Source organism: Homo sapiens, chromosome X (assembly GCF_000001405.40).
Source record: "Homo sapiens chromosome X, GRCh38.p14 Primary Assembly".
NCBI lineage: Eukaryota > Metazoa > Chordata > Mammalia > Primates > Hominidae > Homo > Homo sapiens.
Genome location: NC_000023.11, coordinates 124532725 through 124553705, shown reverse-complemented (window position 1 = coordinate 124553705; position 20981 = coordinate 124532725). Strand labels below are relative to the sequence as shown.

The window sequence follows — 20981 nt, the reverse complement described above, 5'->3', positions numbered from 1 at the left end:
AAACCAAATTTTAAAAATACATATTATGATAGAAGGTGGTAAATGTGATGAAGAAAATTTGTTTTTTTTTTTTTTTTTTTTTAAAGGCAAGATGGTTACCAAAGGCTGGCAAGGGTAATGGGGATTTAAAGGGGAATTGGAGATGGTTAATGGTGCAAAAAGATAGTTAGAAAGAATGAATAAGACCTACTTTTTTTTTTTTTTTGAGATGGAGTTTCACTCTTGTTGCCCAGGCTGGAGTGCAATGGTGCTATCTCAGCTCACTGCAACCTCTGCCTCCTGGGTTCAAGTGATTCTCCTGCCTCAGTCTCCCGAGTAGCTGGGATTACAGATGCCCACCACCACGCCCGGCTAATTATTGTATTTTTAGTAGAGACAGGGTTTCATCATATAGGCCAGGCTGGTCTCGAACTCCTGACCTCAGGTGATCCACCCCCCCCCTCAGTCTCCCAAAGTGCTGAGATTACAGGCGTGAGCCACCACACCTGGCCAAGACATACTATTTGATAGCACAACAGGGTGACTACAGTCAATAATTTAATTGTGCATTTTAAAATACCTAAAATAGTATAATTGGATTGTTTGTAACACAAAGGATAAATGCTTGAGGGGATAGATACCCCATCTTTCATGATGAGATTATTATACATTGCATGCCTGTATCAAAATATCTCAAGTACCCCATAAATATATACACCTACTATGTACCCACAAAAATTTAAAATTAAAAAAATTAAGATTAAAATAAGGCAGGAAAAGGAAGGACAGGGAGTGTAGGACGGGGAAATTTTAAATAAGGTAGCCAGAGAAAATCTCACTAAGAAGATGACATTTGAATAAAGACCCAAAGGAGGTGAAGGTTAAGCCATGTTGATACCAGGGAGAAGAACATTCCAGGCATAGGAATAGTGTGTGCAAACGTCCTGATAACATTGCCTGGGAAATTAAGGAACAGCCAGAGGAGTGGGAAGGAGATTGGGTGGATCAGAAGAGGTAAGATCTGAGAGGTAAGAGGGAGATGGCAAAGAATCAGACTGTGAGGTAATAAGTCATTGTTCAGACTTAGGCTTTTATTCTAAGTGATATGAAAAGCCATCAATGGCAGGTAGGCACCAGGAGGACATGAACATTAGTGGCATACAAACAACGTATTTTCCCAACCCAGAAAAGTTTAATGGTATGTGGTTATAGCAACAATAATGATTTGGGCAGGCCAATCCTGAGTGCACTTGAGTCTCTCTCACTTTCTTTTTTCTAATACAGTAAATCCAGGGGTGAAAATCAGCCTGAAGAAATGAAGAATATGAATTATAGACTATTTCCAGAGGAAATACAGTCCTATTACCTTCAATACATGTAAGGGCAACAACTAAGCTAACAGGAGTGCCTAGTAGGAGGCCTGCTTTAGTAAAGAGTTATGAATGATTTATAGTTAGTTCATTGCTTATGGCTTTCTAAAATGCCTAAGAAGACTTTGCTTTACTGAGTCATTGGAATGATCAGCCCTTCCATTTTATTTTCACTATTAATTTGCTCAGCAGACCCACTGTTCTACAGATGCTGAAAAGCTTAAGCTTAAATCCAACCCCTGTCCAAATGGTGACAAATTCTGAATCAATCAAATCCAATGAATGAAAAGTTTCTGTAGTATTAGTGTTTGTCTACTCAGAGTCACATAAGATCCTACCTACCTGACAACCTAACCAAGCATAGTTCATAAAATGAACACATTCCAACAACTGGAACGTGCTACACAGAAATCAATTACCCTCTGGCCAGTGATAAGGCAACTTCAATAAAAGGGGTTGAATGCTTTAAGCTGCCATTGCAAACCATTGACATCTACCCCTAAGACTCTATCCTTAGATTCTTTGCAGTCTGTATGTTTTAGAATTTGATATAATAACAACAGCTAACATTTATCAAGTGCTGGTTATGTACTAGATAGTAAGCTTATTATGATTACCTTTCCAGCTTTATTGAGGTATAAATGGTGTACAAAACCTGAACATAATAAATGTAAATAATTTGGTCAGTTTACACATATGTATAAACTCATGTTACCATCACCACAAACAAGGTAATAAACATATCCATTACATCCAACGGTTTTCTTCTTGTCCCTTTGTTCTGGGGTGGAGTGTGTGTGTATGTGTGTGTGTGTGTGTGTGTGTGTGGGTGTGTGTGTGTTAAGAACACTTAACATGAGGTCTACCCTCTTAAAAAATTGTTAACTGCACAATACCTCATTATTAACTATAAGTACTATGTTGTACGAGAACTTGCTCATCTTATAACTGTGACTTTATACCCATTAAACAACTCCTCATATCCCCATAACCAATCCCCAAGTAACCACCATGCGGTTGTCTACTTCTATATGTTTGACTATCTTAGATGCCTCATATAAGAGCAATCATGGAGTATTTTCCCTTCTATGACTGACTTATTTCACTTAGCCTAATGTTCTCCAGTCTATGGCTATACCACCCTGAGTGCACCCAATCTCATCTTTATTATAGCATGTGATACTTACAACAACTTATAGAGTGAGTATTATTGTTATTTACATCTTACAAATGAGGAACTGACTTGTCTAGGATTCTACAGATTGTAAGTGGCAACGTTAAGCTTAGAGCCAAAGCAGGGCTGGCCCGGTGGCTTACGCCTGTAATCCCAACAGTTTGGGAGGCCAAGGCAGTTTGATCACCTGAGGCCAGGAGTTTGAGACCAGCCTGGCCAACATGGTGAAGCCCCATCTCTACTAAAAATACAAAAAGTTAGCTGGGCATGGTGGCAGGTGCCTGTAATCCCAGGTACTCGGGAGGCTGAGGCAGGAGAATCACTTGAACCCAGGACACAGAGGTTGCAGTGAGCAGAGATCACGCCACTGCACTCCAGCCTGGGCGACAGAGCAAAAGTCCGTCTCAAAAAAAAAAAAAAATAGAGCCAAAGTAGTCTGTTTTTGTTTTCTTTTGTTTTGTTTTTTACCTTAACCACTTCATGTGCTCTAAATACCTATGTATAGTCATGCACTTGGAAGTCCTACAGCCTAGATCAGTACTAGTAATACACACTGTTTAGATGATGATGTGAATGTGTGATTTGCATGCATAACACTAGGTGTTCATATGACTCCCAGGTTACTTCCCACTGCAACTACATTTAGCCTCCCCTTCTTTGTTTGTAATATAGGGATGAGAATATCAACCTAACAGGCTTGTTGAAGGGATTTGTTGAGATAATATACGTGGATGTACCTAGTGCCTGGCAAATATTAACTAATCTGTACGTGTTTTCAAATCCTTTTGTATAACCTACCATGAATTAACCACCCATTATTATCAAGGTGATAATACAAGTGCTGTCTCTAAAGGATATATATTTGTAAATTCATTTTCAGGATTAGAAAGTATGGGTTTCCTCTGTATCACTCATATTCCTTCATCCATTTCCCCTTTCAGCCAAGGGCATACAATTAGTAGGCATAAGTTTACTAGTGATGACTTGATCACGCAGCAAAGAAACCAGTGCTTCATCAACACCAATTGAGCCAACTGGCAAAGTCCCAAACTGGTTGGCAAAGCTAGGATCAATGAATGCCATAGATAGTCCTTCAAGTCAGTGTAACCTCCCTCTTTTTTAGCTACCTAGTATTTTTATTCCTTTGAAGAGAACAGGCCCTAAAAGTAAAAATCAGTTAATATTTGACATGCCCATATCTGACGACGCTGAGCTTGGCTGTCAGTAGGGTGCCACAGCTTCCAATTCTGAACAATTAGAAAAAAAAAAAAAAACTGTTAATAGCCAAAAAACAAGGCACATATTCAGTGTGATTGTCATTTGCACTTCTTTGCAACAGTCTAGACGTACTATATGGGGTGTTAGTCAATGTGATAATTGGTAAGTTCATCTTTGCCCGTGTGCTGGACTTACCTACAAATTATAATACGGGGTTTGCATGCCATTATTGATCGGCTTGCCTGAGGTCTTTCTAGACTCAACAGGAGCCTTGCTGATGTCTCAGAAAACAGAGGTCTTAAAGGGTCAGCCCTACATAATAGGCAATGATTAAATATGAAACATTAGCTTGGAATGTATAGAACATTACTAGATGAGAATGTGAGTCCCAATTATGAATTGGTTCTATGTTTAGATTTTTTTAGTTTTTTTTTAAGATCGTTTTTGGCATTAATATTTATTTAAAATCTATTTATTTTCAAAAATAAGTCGGAATTTTGTGGTTGACAGGTTGAAACCTGTGACTGCCCAATGTGATTATTACTAGTGTATTTGTTAATATTTGCCAGGCATGACACTGGATACTTCCACATATATTAGCTCAATAACAAATTCAGTATTCAATAAAAATGTAAAAGTGACTGCCCATTTGAAAAGCAGTTTTTCATTGTTTAGTGCATTATGCACCAATTCCAGACATCAGAGAACTCTCTTAATCAGCCTGATATTTTTGCCAGCTTTTCAGCGCATCCAGATGTTTAATTAGCAGAGTAAAGAGATAATGTGCTAATAAGAGGCTGAGAACAGCGTATTGGAGGGAGAGGTGGTAGTGGTATCTAAAATCCCTAAAAAATCTGTTAATATAATTTGCTGAATGATGGGAAAAGGGGAAGCAGAAAGAAACTTCTTATTGAAACAAATTCACACTAAAAAGTCATCAATGAAAAAAATATGTATACAGAGAAATAGAAATCAGGGGCAAAAACACATTGAACAAACAGGGAAGGCAAGAAAAAAAGCAAACTGCATTTTAAATCAAAGTAGTGTCTATAGTACAGGGAATTTGAAAGGACCACATGTGGGGAAAAATATTTCCTGGGTGCCCTAGGGCTGCTGTTCCAAACGTCTACTCTCTTGGTGTTCCTCGCTTTCATTGCCCCCAGCTGTGGTACACCCGCCTCTAACTCCACGGGAGCAGACAAGTGGGGGAGAGAGAGCAAGCAAAAGAGCTGCAGGAAATCAGTGCTAGTAACTTGCTGCAGCAGCAGCCTTAAGGAGACGGTGATCCATCCGAACCTTCCTATTCCAAGGCAAGCCAAGAAGATTAGTGTCTTTATATTTACCCTTGTTAAACAACTGAATTAGAGCCACTTGCCTTCTTTAAGGACCTGGGAAGAACTTTAATTTTTTTGCTTATGGGGCATGGAATGAAGTGTCCATATGCTCAGTTAATCACTCCAACCCCTTCTCTTTGCATGTAACTCTCTTAAAGCACTTCTTACATTTTTGCTAGTATAAGAGTTAGCTGTTTACATATCTCTTTCTCCTACTAAGCCCAGAGCTCTTGAAAACAGGAAAAGGGTATTTTTATCTCTTCACCTCTGCAAGCACCTAACAGTATTTTGCACCTGTTAGATTCTCAGTGGTCTCCCTGCCTCACAATCCCTGTTCCCTATATCATTTCTCTACCAAAGAACAAAGCCTTTGTATGAGTTTTATTTGTGGTACAACAGTGGATTCAGCAGTCTACAGCAAATGGTGAAGGGCCAGAAAATGAAACAGAGAAAGTCATCGCATTCATGTATGTCAGATTTGGTAGTAATTGCATCGGCTGGGTGCGGTTGCTCACGCCTGTAATCCCAGCACTTTGGGAGGCCGAGGTGGGCGGATCAAGAGGTCAGGAGATGGACACCATCCTGGCTAACACGGTGAAACCCCGTCTCTACTAAAAATACAAAAAATTAGCCGGGTGTGTTGGCGGGCGCCTGTGGTCCCAGCTACTTGGGAGGCTGAGGCAGGAGAATGGCGTGAACCCGGGAGGCAGAACTTGCAGTGAGCCGAGATTGTGCCACTGCACTCCAGCCTGGGCGACAGAGAGAGACTCCGTCTCAAAAAATAAATAAAATAGAATAGTAATTGCATCAAAAAACTGCTGTTAGGCATGTTAACTCTAGTTCCTTCTATAAATTCCTTAAAAAACTGGTTCTGCAACTTTAGTATGCTTCAGAATCACCCAGATTAAGTATGCATAATCCTGGGCTCTGTAAAAATTCTGAGTCAGTAGGTGGAGCTCAAGAATATGCATATTTTATAAGCTCCCTAGGTAATTGACAACAGATTTGAAAATCATTGCTCGAAATATCTTTTTTCACCATGAGAATCCCAACCTCTATTTTGAGCATTACCAGTAGACAACAATATTGGGAGGATTTTTTAAAAAAATACAAATTCAGGTAGCAAGTACTTGTTAATTGTGTGCTCATAGATGTACTAGGTGTACTTACAAGAAATCATCGCATTCGGAAAGAATGGTCTCACTGAGGAAGAAGAAATTTCTAAACAGTGATATGTAATAGAATTGTTTACCCAAACTCTAAACAATAACTATATAAACTATATTCTCCAGCTGATAAATGCTGGATAATTCAGGAAAGAAAAATTTATGAACAAAATACTTTGAATTTCTCTGAGGTGCCATGTGAACTCAGAGTGAGTGATAATTCATGAAAAATGTGAATTTAACAAATTCTGAACTCAAAACAAGGTTGATTATCTTTGGCTATATTTTAGAATTTTCTCCATTTATGTATATTTTAAACTATATTTTTCTCTTGAAGCTAAATAATCAATATTGGTTTTGGGTTTTATTTCCAGATGGTTTAACCGACTGTGTGGATCCTGACTGTTGTCAACAAAGCAACTGTTATATAAGTCCTCTCTGCCAGGGCTCACCAGATCCTCTTGACCTCATTCAGCAAAGCCAAACTCTCTTCTCTCAGCACACTTCAAGACTTTTTTATGATCGAATCAAATTCCTCATTGGCAAGGACAGTACTCATGTCATTCCTCCTGAGGTGTCATTTGACAGCAGGTACATATGTATTTATTTTATTCCTTAGTGAACAATGGTCATGTTTTTCCTGAACTACGAAAGGAAGATATCTTCTAAGGATCAGGTTACTTCCCATTCCACATAATCCACGTTCATTTCTTTTTAGGACTTCTCTGGAAAGCCAAAACCCTTACTGATTAAGGAAAAAACTCATTTCTAGAGATTCTGTATCATAAAATTATGTGTGTATGTTTGTGTATGTATATATATAATATGGCTTTTAATAACAAAAACAGGAGGGAAATATAATTTGCAAATTTATTGTTTAGCTTCTGGATTGATTCATTGAAAAAATCTTGAATTTCAAAAACTAAATTTTAAGTTTTATTTCATGATGAAAAATGTTTCCATAGGAAAGGGTTGAATAAGTTTGACATCCTAGTGTGAAATGCAAGACTCGTGAAAAATCTGTCTTCCGGGAAAGCTCAAATGCATGAATTGTCACTTAAGACCTCAGACCAAAGCCCAACCCATAAGGCAAATAATTTTTTTAAAATAAGCTTACTTATATGAAGTGTAATAACATGAATTTGCTCACTGTTATTCTTTAATTCATCTTCAGCGATGATATATTTTACTAATTAGCATTAGAGGTAAGTCACTAAAGTCAACATTTCCAGACACAAAAATGTTCTCCTGTATGCATTCCACAAGTCAATATTTCACTGGCTTTGTAGACTGTTGCAAACAGGAATTTTTAAGAAACATGGAAAGTATTTGTCCAGGAACTCCTGTCTACATCCCACTCCCTCAGTTGCAGCCTGGTGGGAGTTATCATTCCCCAAGAATAACTTGGTCAAGAGTTTATATTGATATCAGTGACAATCTAAGAAAATTACAACTCCATCTTGACCTATACATAGTAGAAAAGGGGAAAAATAAGATGTGCATGGAAATTTCAAACTCTCAACTCCCTTCCCTTCAGTTGTATACTAGAACTGTTATTGAAACTTAAAAGTTTAAAATTTTTTTTTTATTGTGTAGTTCTGACTCTCTAGGTCTCTGGCAGAACCCAAAATCCAACTGCCAGTGAATCACAAGAAAGGGCTTTTCTGCCAGGGGATCTAGTCAAAGTTTTCCTTCTTCCAAGAGATTCAGTCATCTCCATTTTGAAGTATTTCTTCCAGCTTCAATAACAACTCTGCAGTGACTTTCAGATGTGGTATAGTCAAAGTGATTATTTAGATAGTCGAGACTTATTTATTATACACCAGAGGAACAAAAAGAACAAAAAGCAACCATTATCCCTGTTTTCCTATTTAAGGTAGAGGTAAGACATCAACTCTGTAGCTTTCTTCACTCATAGAGAAAAGTTGATCCAAAAAAAAGAAATGAAGTGAAAGAAATAACAACCTCCATGACATGGAGAAGTGTTAAATGACTCACTAAACTCAAGTAAGGGGAGAAAGTCAAGACCTAAGAGAGACAAGAGACAAGTCATTGTGACCCAGAGCAGAGCATGTGAGCAATAAACTTAGAAAAGTGAGGACAAACTTAAATCCCTGCGGTTTAGCTTCATGCATCAGCAGCACTTGCCAGCCGCTCAGAGTGAATAAACCTATTTCTTGTGGTGGTTAATGCCCTTCTCCTCCTCCTGGTTTGATTGAGTTTCCCTCATTCTTTTGTAAAATGCTCCAAGTTATCATTTGGCTCTGCAAGTCACATTTAAATTCAGAACGATGGGTCTCCTTCATCCAGGGGTCTCAGCTCTTACAAATATATCCATTCTATCAGAAAAGGCAAAGGCTTTTCGTGAGGAAAGTAGCTGAGGACAAACAATCTAATTCTATTTCCTCTAAAAAATCAACACATGCATTTTTATTTGGGATATCTTTGGGCAAAATAAGTCCAACTCTGATCATATATATAAATCATAATAGCTACAGTCTCTTACATCTATATAGTACTTTTTAGTTTACAAAGCAAACAAACATACATTATGTCCTTTTATCCTCACATTATCCCTGTAAAGTAGATACTTGTATTAGGTGCATTTTATATATAAGGAAACTGAGGTTCAGAGAGATTAAATAACTTGCCCCAAATCACACATGCAGAAAGCTTGCATTGTAGCAACTCTTGTAACCTTTCCATTACGCCACAGCTGCCCCATTTCAATGGGTCCTTAAATAAGCCTGGTGACGTGAACCAAATTTATACTAGGTAAATGGTATTTGGGTCAACACAAGAAACTTAGAAACCAAATGACATTTTAAAAATCCAGTTCAATTTAATACATTTCAGTGACATCATTTACAAACTTCAAATCAGTGCTAATGAATTTTTTCTTTGTAGATCACAATTGAGTGACTCATGAAATGGACCTTTTGATACATGTAAATTGTCCTTGGGCATTTGTTATGTCAAAGATCTCATGCTAAACTTTTACATGTGTTATTTAATCCTCACAAAAACTCTATATGGTAGGTACTATTACTATCTCCATTTGTCAGTGAGGAAATAAGAACAGAGATGCCCAGTAAATGACTTGTTCAGGGTCACAATTAATGAGTGTCAGTCAGATTTCGAACCCAGAATTTGAACTGGTGCTGACAGCCTAGTCTCTAAACCACTATGCTGGGCCATTTTGGCTACTTAGAAAGCTGGGCTAGCTGAATGTGAAATACTTATGGCTCTTATACATCTCGGACTGTAGGATTGCTCTCCTCAGGCAGATCTAGGACACTTATGTGCCATAATCAGGTGAACAAACCACTTTGCTTTTTAGTTTTTGCTGCATAATTGAGAGAGAGAGCTGGGTAGGCGGGTGAAGAAAGCATTTTGAAGGGGCTTGTTTGCCTACCGGCAAAATGCGACCCACACAGCTGATTTGCTGCTGAATGTTGCCACCATCAGAAACCTTTGGAGCTAAAGATGGTGGCACACAGGTGACTAAGTGTTGCAAGGACACACAAAAGCTAAAAAATTGTTTATCCTTGTGCAACCAAGAGAGACCAGACCTTCTTGTTTTGAGTTAGCTGCACCCACATGTGAAAGCCCATGGAATATGTATGTTCTGTGCCGTGTGATGGTGTAACAACAATGTGAACGTGCACCCTGCCCATGGTGAAGATCTTGGGCAAACTCAACTGAGTTGCCATTTTTTTCCTAAATGCAATTTATATCCTGTAGCTCGAGTTTGTTTTCTTCAACTACTCCAAACATGACTGCAAAGTAAACCACATATTCTACGAGCCCTGTACGACTTATTACTTTTTAAAAATGTAAATAGGTGAACAGAAGCATTATTGATCTTTAGTGTCTAAGCATTTAATCACTATTAATAATGTAAAAGGTTTTTATAAATATGTAAAAGCAGGAGTACATTAAACTAAATGACAGCAGTAATTTGCAAAGCCAGACATTTCACTCGCCATCACTAGTGGAGAAGTGCATTTAAAAAAACAAAATCTTACCAGGGTTAGTGCAGCGGCTGACAGCAAGGTCTAACCAAACTCATCTGTCTGTTTTGTAACCATGAGAGGCTGATCCTCACGTCAATCCGTGTCAGATGTCCATATCAGAGGTTGCTTAAAATCAGCCCACAGATGTATTTTGTTTGTCCTGACATTTAGAAATTAGGAGATCCAACATAAAAATCAGAATATCTTCCTTCTCCAGAAAATTTACACAGCTTGGGATGCATGGGCAACCTAGGATGCATGGGCACGGCATAGGTGGTCTGACGCTTAAGGGCCAGCTGCCCCTCTGGATGGGACATGGCATGCCTTTCTAGCTCACCACTCACTTGACTCACGTCCTTCACTTTCAATGTCATGCCTGGCCTTGCTGGCATTTGAGTTTGTGATTTCTGGTCTATACAGTTTCTGCAGCTTTCCAAGGAAAGATCTTAAGTGTTTGTTTTTCTTTCTGATCTTTTTCCCTGAGAGCCTTTAAATACCCAACATTATCATTTCACTTAATTTTTGAACTTTTATTATAGTGGTTTAAAAAGAGGAAAAAGATGACTGAACATGATCTAGAAATCACATTAATGGAACAATATTTCTCCCCTTAGTTCGCTGGAGTACCTTTGCATATCTCATGAATAAGTTGGTATACACTCTGCCTCACACCTTAGGCTAATAAACTCCTCTAGGCCAGTGGATCTTAACCTATGATGTCTTAACATCCCACCCATTATATCAGATAATCCCGGTCCCACCAAAGTAGGAAAAAAGTCCACATTTTATGAGAAGAATGTGTATGTTCGCAGGAATTTGATTATTATGTCTATAACTTAGAGTAAATTTTAAGAACAGCTTAAAGATCTAAAATCTTGCAACAGTCCTGCTGAATCAATTGTGTTGACCTCTTCTGCCCACTCTGGTGGAATGCCTACCCTTAATTGAAAATTTCTAGAATTAGGACCAAATTTAGTACAGCACTAGGCACATAATAGCAATATTAACAAGCAAAAAAAAAAAAAAATGAAACAAGATGATGGGTTTCTTCTAGCTTTCTTTGGAATTGCTGCATTTCAGTTTCTTGGTTCACCCTAGGATGTACAATGTTAGCTCTGAATTGTCATCATTTCTAAATCTTAAGTTCTGTAAGGACAAAGACCAAGTCCGATTTGTTCTCTTCTTGTTTTGAATATCTACTGCTATGTAGCAAATTGTTCCAAGTAATGGATTAAAACAATTCAGTATCATCCTATTTCATGTGTCCATGGGTCAGACATTCAGATAAGGCATGGCTAGCATGGCTTATCTCTGCTCCATGATGTTGGAAGCCTCAGCTGGGATGACTCAAATAACTGGGGGCTGGAACAGCTGGACAGCAGATGGAAATCCTTCTCTCTACAGGTAGCCTCTCTATTTGACTACTTGGGCCTCCTACTGGCATGGTAGCTAGCCTTAGGTTTGTCAGAGCTCTTATATGGTAGCCTAGGGCTCCAAGAGTGAGTGTTCCAAGAGACAGGAAATGGAAAATGCCAGTCTCTTAAGACCTGGGTCCAGAAATTGTCACAGTGTCACTTGTGTCATACACAGTTGGTCAAAGCAGTCACAGAGCTTGCCTAGATTCAAGGGGAAGGACATAGATCCCACCTCTTGATGAGAGCAGTATCAAATAATTTTTGGCCACCTTTAATCTATGATACCACTGTATCCCCAGATCCTAACACAGTATTTGGCATGAAGTAGGTGAAAAACAAGTGAGTGAGTAGCTTAGTTATGATTTTGAAGTGTGAGTGCTCTGTATTAGGTCATTCTCACATTGCTATAAAGAAATACTGGAGACTGGGTAATTTATAAAGAAAAGAGGTTTAATTGGCTCACAGTCCTGCAGGCTTTACAGGAAGCATGATGCTGGCATCTGCTCAGCTTCTGGTGATGCCTCGGGAAGCTTTCAATCATGGTTGAAGGTGATAGGGCAATAGGCATGTCACATGGTGAAAGCAAGAGCGAGAAAGAGAGAAGGAGGTGACAAACACTTTTAAACAGCCAGACCTCATGAGAACTCACTCACTCTTGTGATGACAGCACCAAGAGGTGGTGCTAAACCATTCACGAGAAATCCATCCCCATGATCCAGTCACCTCTAACCAGGCCCCATCTCCAATACTGGGGATTATAATTCAACATGAAATTTGGACGGGGACAAACATACAAACTATATCATGCTCTTCTCATATTTGCTAATGAAAAACTCATTTTGGTTGCCTAGAACACACAAATGATATTAGGACCTTAAATAATCCAATTCTCAAATGTAGAACCAGCCTAAAGGTAAGATTACAGTTCTCCAAATAGCAGAGAAACAAAATTCATGAAAGATATAGTGATAATATAACAATAGCAAAATAATTATTCTTTTTTAAAACTTGTGATATATTCCATCACTGTCACAACCTGCCAATAATTGACATCATTTATGATTTTGTGTATGCATCAATAATTCTGTTTTCAATGGGTTAGATAATCAAAATTTAGTGCTAAGAGAAAAGTGGAATATAAGGAGCAATATCAGGAGGTCAGCAGGAAGACTGCTGCTAACTGGCTCACTTTGGTGTGCATCATTATTCTGTCTCGCAAGAAAACCAAAGAGAAGTGCCCTAAAACAAACTGAAGTACTTCAAATGCCTTGAACATGGAATTTTGGCAAACTTTTTATTTACCTAAGCCTTCATCCTCCTTTACTATACCCTACTCAATAATACATTCTTGATTCTTGTTCCCGATTAGTCATGATACCTGGTGACAGCCATAATTACTCATCATAACTTGTTTAATGTAACATGCGTTCTGCCCTCAGTTGAGCTGGGAATGTATACCATTTGAGATTCTGTGAATGGCAAAACAAATTATTGACCCAAGACTGAGATCGAGGGAAGGTTGCAGGAAGATGGTCATCGCTGCAGAAGCTGCTGATCTTGAATAAAGACTGAGACTTAAGAATAACCATAATTGACAGATACTAATTACTGTTTTAAGTATATATTTTATTACAATATTGGTATTTCCAGAGAAACTGAGGACTTTACTACCTCAGAAAGAGATAGAAGAGATACCAGATTCTTCTGCCATTCTTAATGTAATATAATACCCTAATATCAATTCATTTTTCAAGAGTGATGAAGGATATGCATTCACTCATTCATACAACAACATTTATTGAGTACTCACTTTATGCCAGGAACTGTGCAGATGGAGATACACAAAAGAAACACAGTCCCCTTATTCAGAGTTTACATTGTAGTGGCAGAAGCAGTCAAAACATCAAGTAAATACATAAATAATTAAAATAATTATGAATTGCAGTAAGTCTATGGATCATGGAACATCAGATTTCTAAGGGAGCTTGGAGTTCATCAGCTCAGGAGTCCAAATTCAACTGTTTTGATGGGGAAGACAGGTAGCCCTGTAAGACAAGAAGTATTCTGGCAAATTAGACAAAGTCATTAAACAACTATAGAAGTGAAACTGACCTGGAAGTTTTCAGCAATAATCCAGAGATGGGACTAATTGGCTCGGGTGAGCATGAAGAGCTGCTAAAATTGACACACACTGGAGACTATTGATGACTTGCAAGAAAAATACAAAGCTTATTTGGACAGTGAACAGCTTAACTATATGCAAACAGTTTCATCATCCTTTGACATTTGGGGCTATAAATAATTTTCTCTACAATTTGAAATGTGTGTACCAAACATAAATTCCAGGAAAAAAAAAACAATCATCCAAAAGAAATCCCATTTAGCACAATGAAAAAAAAATCCCCATTAACCACACTTTGGAGTCATTTAAAACAATAGATCCTACAGTTTCTTTCAAGACAATCCCTATTGGGGGAAGATTAATCATTTCACTCTTTAAATGTATGAACATTATAATGTTTACTTGGTTCATTTCTTCATTTAGTGATAGGTACTCTTCTAAGCTCTGGGTTATAGTGGACAAAATCTCTTCCCCATACAGTCTAGTGAGGGAGGCAAACAATGAAAAAAGTAAATGTCAGGAAGGTATAAATACTGTAAGGTGAGATAAAAGTTAGGGACAGAGAAGGACCATTTTACACAGAGTGGCCCAGGGACACCTCTCTGAGGAGGTGACACTAGAGCAGAACCCTGAATAGCATTCATCTGTATATTAGATGATCTTGGTATAAATGTTTCTTGCCACCTGGACCCCTATGCAATAGATTTTAACAGAAACTGGAGCCTGCTGTTGACTTTTAGGGGCCTGTTGAATCAAAATTCTGTGACATAATGTGCAATGGAAAAGTAAAACAAACCTTTGTCAAGGAATTACTGCATATTGGTTACTGGGTTTTACCGATAAATGGATGAGGTGCCTGCCCTCCAGGAGGACATTGAGAAAATTTGAATACCTCAGACCAACTGACTAGGACCTGGAAAGAGAAATCAGTAACAGCCTTAGACCACTTAACTCATGCATGACAGAAAAAAATAGCAGATCTTCATCAATTAGTGTTAATCCTAGAATAAATCAAATATTGAGAAACCACTTACTGATTTGGAATTATTTTTAAAAGATAAGCCTATATTTTAAAATATTTAAAAGGAAATATAGTGCTATTACAGTATTCAAGCATTCACAGAATTAACATGTTGCAGTTTTGTCTATCTACGAGTAACCCCAGAAGGTCGACAACATAAACATTTGTAATTTCACTGAGGTACAAATTTGAATCCATATGCCTTGCGTTTAGCTTTTTCATGAATCTATTTGTTAAAGACCTCTAAGTCTACTTGCTAATGGCAGATTTTTGGGTATTTTTAATCTAGGAACATGAAAAACATTACACCAAGTACACAACTAGGGGTTGATAAATACACAGTGCGACAATTGCTGAATAAATTGAATAGACTAAGAATCGGGTAAGCTCTTTATAGAGCATCAACATCCTCAAATATACCTTCTGTTCACCTTCCTTTCTAAAGGAAGGCACTGCAGATGACCTGCTCACGTTTGGAAAAAGAATTCCAGTGTGTTTTGGATTGGCCGTGGTTACTTGTTATTCTGTTTGTCTGTCCCCGTTGCTTTTCCTGAGCAATCTCCCTTGCTTATCACCTCTGAAGTTGTTGTCCTAATTGGGAAGTACGGTTGTTGCTGCTTCCTAATAAAGCACTTTGATCTTCATGTGAAAGGTGTTACTGAAGATGGGATCTCTTGATTTTCAGACTATACTGTCTAATGCTAAAATTCAGAAAACACATGTTCAAAACACATTTAAAAAATTACAAAGTGCAGAAGGTTCCCAGATTTATAGTGCTGACTGTCTCCTGAAATCAGCAGTCAACACCTAAAGGTACCAAAAAGAAACAATGTGAGACTTTCACTTCTTTGCAAATGCTCTTGGGCAAAGAAGAATGAAAAATCAGAACACAGATCTTCAAAAGGCTGTTTCAACTGATGATTTATGATACTTTGAAACTCAGTTGTTCTGAGATGCTTAACAGTTATAATTAATGATACCAGTAGCTACCTACAACTTATCTCAGCATGAATAGGTATTTTCTAATATTTTATCTATCCTACTTGCTGCTCCATTAGGATGTAAAGTTAAAAGGCTCAAATCCTTATTACCTACTACTCAGTCATACTATTTGCTTGTAATGACTCTCTAGCTGGTTCTGTCATCTCATTTTGTCCCTGGAGAGGACAAAGTGAATGCAAGTTTGGGAAGAAAGAACAAATGACATGCTATAGCTCATCTCCACTACACACACTCCACATAGGAAGTGCTCAGCAGTTGGTAAATTTCTCCAGGTAGCCATAATTCTGTAGATAGCACCATCTTTGTAGGCGATCACTTTCTTTTCATTTGTAGCCATATTGTTTATATCTTGACTCAGAAAGATCTGCAATACAGCTCAGGCTCTTTGGGGGCCAGGTCAAGAGATCTCCACCCCTCCACCACTTATGAGCTGTGTTAAGTGCAAAACTTTTAACTTCTCTGAGTCTGTTTCTTCATTTTTTAAATGGGCCTAATAGCTTTACCTACTCAGGGTTATGTGGACATTAAATGAAATAAGGTAAGGAAAGTATCTGGCATAGTACCTGATTCATAGTATAATAAATATTTTATTTATACAACATATATATCTAATAATTATCAGGGTACATAGCAATAGAATTTGAAAGGCCTAGTTCAAAAGTGATCATTTTACTGGGTAATTTTACTATGATGACATCTTTGTGAGGTAACCGGGGAGAGGTCAGGGAAGAAAGAACATTCCCACCCTACATAAAGAGCAAACAGAGCTAAGAGTTAATTCTGTTTCTTAGGAAAAGTCAACAATGGTGGTTACTAGCAAGCCAGAGCTAGAACACAGCTGTGGCTAGAGCAAAGACACACTTCTTCGTCTGTGGAGGGAAGAGTAATATATGCCCAGGAGATGGCCAACAAGAAGGATCTGTCCTATATTTAATGACTATCCATTAGTCGAAAGGCAGATTCAGAGAAGTGACAAGAGAGGTTAATGAGGTTAACAAAACCCTATAAGGCTGATTGCAAAGAGAAAACATTTGAGTCATGTGTAGAACAAGCAAAAAACAAACCAAAAATTTTAAGGGAAAAACTAACTTCAGACTATTCAAGAGTTGCAAGGGCTTACAGGACAAATATTTCAGGATTCAAATTCTGGACGAAAATAATCATGTGTCTAAATGAAGCAAACTGGCACTTACGCAGTCCTGAAAATGTGACTGTGTCGTCAGTTTTCTTATTGCTTCAAAACACTTGATCTTTTTCCCATTACTTTGGGGATCTCAGACCTCCAAAGCAAGCGTACTTTTGACAAGCAATTACCAAGGCAGATGGGAAAATAGCCACCCTACCTCAGGGTGAGTGCCCCCATTTTGTTTTACTTGAAACATCACTAGCCATGAGGAAAATAATTCTGCTTAAAAATCTATCTGCATTTTCAATAGCACCACCTTTCCCAGAGTCCTAGAATGTTGATGGCTAATGCTCCCAGCTGCTTTTAATGCTACCCACTTGGTAGGCATTGTTTATTTGGGGCAGTGACCAACTGAGTAGGATTAAATCAACCCACCATATTAAAATAAAAACTAACGAGGACATTGTATTGGGTTTGCATATGAGCATTCACTGCATTTGAATTTTCAGAACATGGAAATAGGTTTATGCTATAACATTAAGTGTTTTCATAGTGCTGTACCAGGTTAGATAACATATATCAAAAGTAGCACGTGTTGTAAGGAAACCCCCAAAATATCTGGATATTAGAAGTCCCAAATGCATTTAAATTATAAAATAGCAAATAGTAATTATATAATAATATATAAAGGAAGAATGGGGCTAGCGTGCATAAATTAAGCATTTGAAGACTAATCATTTCATCTTCCCGATCACAATAGGTACTGTTTAATTCCCTAAAATAGTCAAGTATCAAACAAAACACTCCTGATGAGAATGTCCTAATGCTCAATCCAGAGTGTTGGCTTCTAATAAATAAAGTGTAAGGCATCTGTTACACAGGAATCTCAACGTAGTCACTGAAGCCCTTGCTTGAAGCAGTGCCATGAGCATAGGTTGCAAGGATCTTACAACTATATTTTTAAATATTTGAGTTGAAATTCTATGAACCTGTCTTGAGCATGTGCTGTGTACATCAGGCTCTGAGAAGGACACAGGGAAGAAAATCACACAGTTTTTGCCCTGGCTATCTAATAAAAAGACAGACAGATCTAAAACTGTCATCCAAGACCGGTTATGATAAGTGCAATAACACAAGTATGAGCATTGTATAATAAGAATAATGAGGATGGAGGAGAAATGGACACTTATTTGGGACAAATAAATTGGACTAAAACATATTTCCATTTTATAATCTCTGAATTTGAAGACCCTGTAGTTCATCTTGTAGTACAGCCACCCCTTTTGTCATGACAGTTTCAACATGACTCCCCAAACTACAGTTGTTGCAAACCCTTTTCCAGAAGTTTATATGGAAGAGTTAAAATTCATGCCTGACAGATTTCATAAGGGTAAGATTGTGAACCAGTGGTCGATTTGCCTGCCTTTTTATGGTTTATACCTTCTGCCTCCCTCTCCAGGAGTTCATATGCCTTAATTGGCTGAGTATGTTATGGCCTTGCTTTTCCTAAAGCAGCAGTTCTCAAAGGTTTGTCTTGTTAGAAATGTAAATTCTATGATCCAACACCAGACCTACTAAATCAGAAACTCTGAGGATACGACCCAGCAATCTGTGTTTCAATAAGGCTTTCCAGTGATTCTCGTGGACAATCAAGTTTGAGAATCACTGATCTATAAGAGAGAGAGATTATCATACAGGACTGAGGACCAACACCACAATCCCAAAATTACTTTCTAAAGAGAAGCCCCTTTATTCACTATGTGATGGCAGTGGTAACAGGAACATCACAAACCCTTTGTCCTAACTATTCAGAGATATTTGCATTCCAACAGAGACCCCAGTAGCTACAGTTGTTAGGGGAATCCTCCAGTCACACCTCATATGTGACAAATTTCTATCCCTTGGAGACTTGAACCAACTGACAATTCAAAGAGGAATTTACGGGGCAGGATTCAAACACTAGTGAGCAGAGGATTCATATAGCCTCTCTCAGCCCAGTCCTTCTCAGTGCTACCTTTTGACCAGAGCTGTCAGCTGTAGAAAGGATTTCATCTGTTCCTGTGGAAAAAAAACAACCTAACCTGCCCACCTGCTGCTAGATCCCCTGCTGGCTAGGTCCTTGATTTTGAATGTTACCCTTCAAAGGCTGCTTATGCTCCTGTTAGCAACAAAAGGAAATCGCTGTAACTTTTCTAGCCCTGAGTCTGTTTTCTTTCGAAAGACATTAATCAGAAATGCAATGTAGTAAATTGCATCTTCTTTCAGCAATTTAGTTTTCAGCCTTGTTTTTCAAACCAACTATTGTGCTTGAGGTTAATGTTGTTGCCTGAGGTGTTAAACGAATATCGGAGATTTGACACCGAAGACAAAAGACAACAAATAAGGGAAGAGGAGAATGGAACCAAGAGTTGATTGAAGGCTAGGGATAATTTGACTATTCCATGAAAATAACAAATACAGAATGAATTAGACCTTTTGCATCAGAACTGTCTAACAAGCAGCTTGTTAGTTAAATAAGGCTCCCAGTAAAGTGTATTCTGACCTGCATTTCCCAAGATGCTCTGTTCTTCAGACCAAGCTCCAAACACCTAGAGGATTCAGCATTTAGTTAAAGTGGAGAAGCAATTCCTTTGGGGTTGCTGCTTTAGCATAGTGACAGCAGGTAGACAGCTTGGCAGCAGCCTGTATTCTCTAGAGAACAGGAAAAAAGACACTTGTGAGGGGTGATATTCCCCATGCATGTTTCTAGAGTCACATTGGACATGCCCATCTAAGTTCAAGTTATCTTGCTCTAACCAACAACAGCAGGGAGAAGTTCTTGTTTTCAAAGGTTCAACCAAGCAAAGCATCCATCTCATTCATGTCTGTGAATCAAAGGAGAGCCCAAGCAAAGACAGAAAGTATGCAATGCCTGCCGTTGAGCGTACACAAGACCACACATATAGACACACAAAACCAACACAAACGACAGTTATGCTGGGCACATAGCTGCTGTACACATGTGCAGGGCCAGCCGCATGACAGTCCAGACAGTAGCTTCTATCATCTTACTTGAAAGATTTAGAAGAGTTCTATATATTATTGAATTGAAAATGTTTCAGAAAAAGACAAATTTTTAAGGACCAAAACTCAGGTTGAAGGTAGTTTTGATGTGGCAAAAATTCAAGAACTCAAGATGCTTCCTCGAGGCAGACCAAGTACAGGCCAAGTAGGGCTGACTAATTTCAATGGTGATTTGAGGAAGCCAGGGACTCTCTGGAAGAGGAAACAGGGAGGCACCATAATGGGAATAGGAAAAACACAGAAAGCAGGACTGTGGTAATATCAAAGGCAGACCCTCACCGTACATACCTCACTACTCAGCTAGGATCTAACTTTGGAAAAAAATGAACTATACAGGCTGCCTTAGATATAAGAAGCATAATCAAAATAGTTTATATAAATGGGAGGGAAGGAACTATATTTTAGTGGCTGTGGGGAATCAGGAAAAACAAACCAGATACAAGGCTACCATCCACAATTATTAAGAAAATAGAATTTAGAATCTGGGAGTGCACAAAATGGCAGTTGAGCTGAACGAAGTGGCACAATATGCCATACTTCCAAAGAATATATATGAAGGCTCCCTAATGGCCATTTGGAGCTGATGTAGCCTGCCTGGGAAAGCAAGTACACTCAAGAGCTTTCTTTTTGAAATGGAGAGTTTGCCTAAGAGGTAGATTTTTCCTAAATTTCTGCATGCAGTGTCAGTCAAGATTACTGCAAATTAAAAAGAATACTTTAATACTGTCCTGAAATTTAGACAATTTAAACTGACACTGGATGACTGATATTGTTCAAAGATTACAGTAAGTACTAGTAATCCAGGAATAAAAAGACCTAAGAGTTATTCTCGTGAAAAATGGATGACATGGAGTGTATAAATAATGGGAGCAAATGCAGCAAGATACAGGGAATCTTGGAACATTTAAAGTCTAATACATTACAAAGGGAGTTCAATACTGATAAATGTAGAATATAAGTTTTATGGGGTTTTAT

General features: G+C 38.2%; 1 protein-coding gene across 14 annotated transcripts in view, besides 2 other annotated features; it reads left to right on the top strand.

Annotated features, from left to right (window-relative positions):
• Positions 1-20981, top strand: part of TENM1 (teneurin transmembrane protein 1) — an 828410-nt gene that overhangs the window by 650607 nt on the left and 156822 nt on the right. For all 14 annotated transcript variants that reach the window (XM_017029210.3, XM_017029211.3, XM_047441760.1 and 11 more), the window contains one exon: positions 6616-6832. In XM_017029210.3, the coding sequence (XP_016884699.1) occupies positions 6616-6832 (217 nt within the window). The remainder of the gene's footprint in view (positions 1-6615; positions 6833-20981) is intronic.
• Positions 18486-19079: an enhancer, noted in NCBI's record as "OCT4-NANOG hESC enhancer chrX:123668477-123669070 (GRCh37/hg19 assembly coordinates)". NCBI's record gives its function as "activates a minimal SCP1, AML or CMV promoter by ChIP-STARR-seq in naive and primed H9 embryonic stem cells {active_cell/tissue: H9 hESC(naive and primed)}" and the evidence as "EXISTENCE:reporter gene assay evidence [ECO:0000049][PMID:30033119]".
• Positions 19080-19675: an enhancer, noted in NCBI's record as "OCT4-NANOG hESC enhancer chrX:123667881-123668476 (GRCh37/hg19 assembly coordinates)". NCBI's record gives its function as "activates a minimal SCP1, AML or CMV promoter by ChIP-STARR-seq in naive and primed H9 embryonic stem cells {active_cell/tissue: H9 hESC(naive and primed)}" and the evidence as "EXISTENCE:reporter gene assay evidence [ECO:0000049][PMID:30033119]".